Genomic DNA, 2,090 nt, shown 5'->3' on the forward strand with positions numbered 1-2,090 from the left:
TTGGTGACCTACAGATGGGGTTTTGGTGTAGATGAACTTTTTGTTGATGTTGATGCTATTCCTTTCTGTTTGTTAGTTTTCCTTCTAACAGTCAGGTCCCTCAGCTGCAGTCTGTTGGAGTTTGCTGGAGTTCCACTCCAGACCCTGTTTTGGTGGGTATCACCATAGGAGGCTGCAGAACAGCAAGTATTGCTGCCTGATCCTTCCTTTGGAAGCTTTGTCCCAGGGAGGCAGCCACCTATATGAGGTGTCTGTCAGCCCTTACTGGGAGGTGTCTCCCAGTTAGGCTACATGGGGGGTCAGGGACCCACTTGAGGAGGCAGTCTGTCCGTTCTCAGAGCTCAAATGCCATGCTGGAAGAACCACTGCTCTCTTCAGAGCTGTCCAACAGAGACATTTAAGTCTGCAGAAGTTGTCTGCTGCCTTTTGTTCAGCTATCCCCTGCCCACAGAGATGGAGTCTAGAGGCAGTAGGCCTTGTTGAGCTGTAGTGGGCTCCGCCCAGTTCAAGCTTCCTGGCTGCTTTGTTTACCTACTCAAGCCTTAGCAATGGAGGATGCCCCTCAGCAATGGCAGACGACCCTCAGCAATGGCAGACACTGCTGTCTTGCAGATCGATCTCAAACTGCTGTGTTAGCAGTGAACAAGGCTCTGTGGGCATGGGACCCGCCGAACCAGGCACAGGAGAGAATCACCTTGTCTGCCATTTGCTAAGTCCTTGGGAAAAGCACAGTATTTGGGCGGGAGTGCCTCGTTTTTCCAGGTAGTCTGTCACAGCTTCCCTTAGCTAGGAAAGGGAAATCCCCCAATCCCTTGCACTTCCTGGGCGTGCGACACACCTCCCACCCCCTGCTTCAGCTTGCCCTCCGTGGGCTGCACCCACTGTCCAACTGGTCCCAATGAGATGAATCAGTTACCTCAGTTGGAAATGCAGAAACCACCCATCTTCTGTGACGATCGTGCTGAGAGCTGCAGACCGGAGCTGTTCCTATTCAGCCATCTTGGAAATCCCTCACCACTTAGTTTTTAATCTGTAAAGCGAAGACAATTAAGCTTGCATCACAGGGCTGTCATGTAGGTTAAATGAGACAATGTATATAAAGTTCCAAATAAAGTACCTGCTAAAGTAGATGGTCAATAGTTTTGTTCCTTTTACAGTGGCACCTAAAATGCTATCATTATTTTGGATTAAAGTATATCTCCAAGAACTCCCTGTTAAATGCAATTATCGAACATGACAAGCAAACATTTGTGTTTGTGCACGTGGTGTGTTTATTTATTCTTCTCTATGGTAATACAATTCTGACAGCTGGTCACAAAAAGAGTGGATAGAGTGTGTTATGGCCTTTTAAGAGGCATGAGAGATGGTGTGATAAGACATTGACTAGGGTGAGGTTTAAGCCTATACCTCAGTGCTAGGACTCTATAGAAAACATTGGATCCTTGGAAAAGAGGGAGATAAAGCCTCAACGCTGAGGCAGACAGCAGGGCTGTTGGACAGGGAAGAGTGCATCTAAGATAGGTTTCAACCTCCTTATATTTTAATTCAGACAAACTGGTTTATCTCATTTGGCTTTTGAGAACCCAAAAGGAGACATTTATGTTGAGGTTACTAAACTGTGCATCCTGGAGCATTTCTGTGAATCTGGGCCTTTCAGTGTTTTCAGGTTAACAATTCTTTACTTCTGTCACCTCTCTTTGTTCATATTAAAGTACAAATACCCTGTGGAAACTATTCAGTAAAAATGCGGCCCTTTGAAACAAGTGATTTCTAGTTAAAATCATCTGAATAATTTTGCTGCTTAGTTTTTATCTTGCACTCTATTTTTGTGCATCAAGAAATTTAGACATTTAAAGATATGCATGTTGAATTAAAATAAAAAAGAAACACAAAATAGTAAATTTTTGATACTGTCACTAAGTTATGATGAATTTCTCTTTCAATACTTAAAATTCTCTTAAGAAGTGTGAAGTGTTTTCTATTAGCTGAATTGCATTTACATTTATAATCTAGCCAGGTTTGGGGAATTTCATTAAAAACCTTGTTAAAATTCTTACGCAGCATTTACATTTCACTTAGCTATCACAAGA

The sequence above is a fragment of the Homo sapiens genome, chromosome 2 (assembly GCF_000001405.40).
Source record: "Homo sapiens chromosome 2, GRCh38.p14 Primary Assembly".
In the NCBI taxonomy this organism is placed as follows: domain Eukaryota; kingdom Metazoa; phylum Chordata; class Mammalia; order Primates; family Hominidae; genus Homo; species Homo sapiens.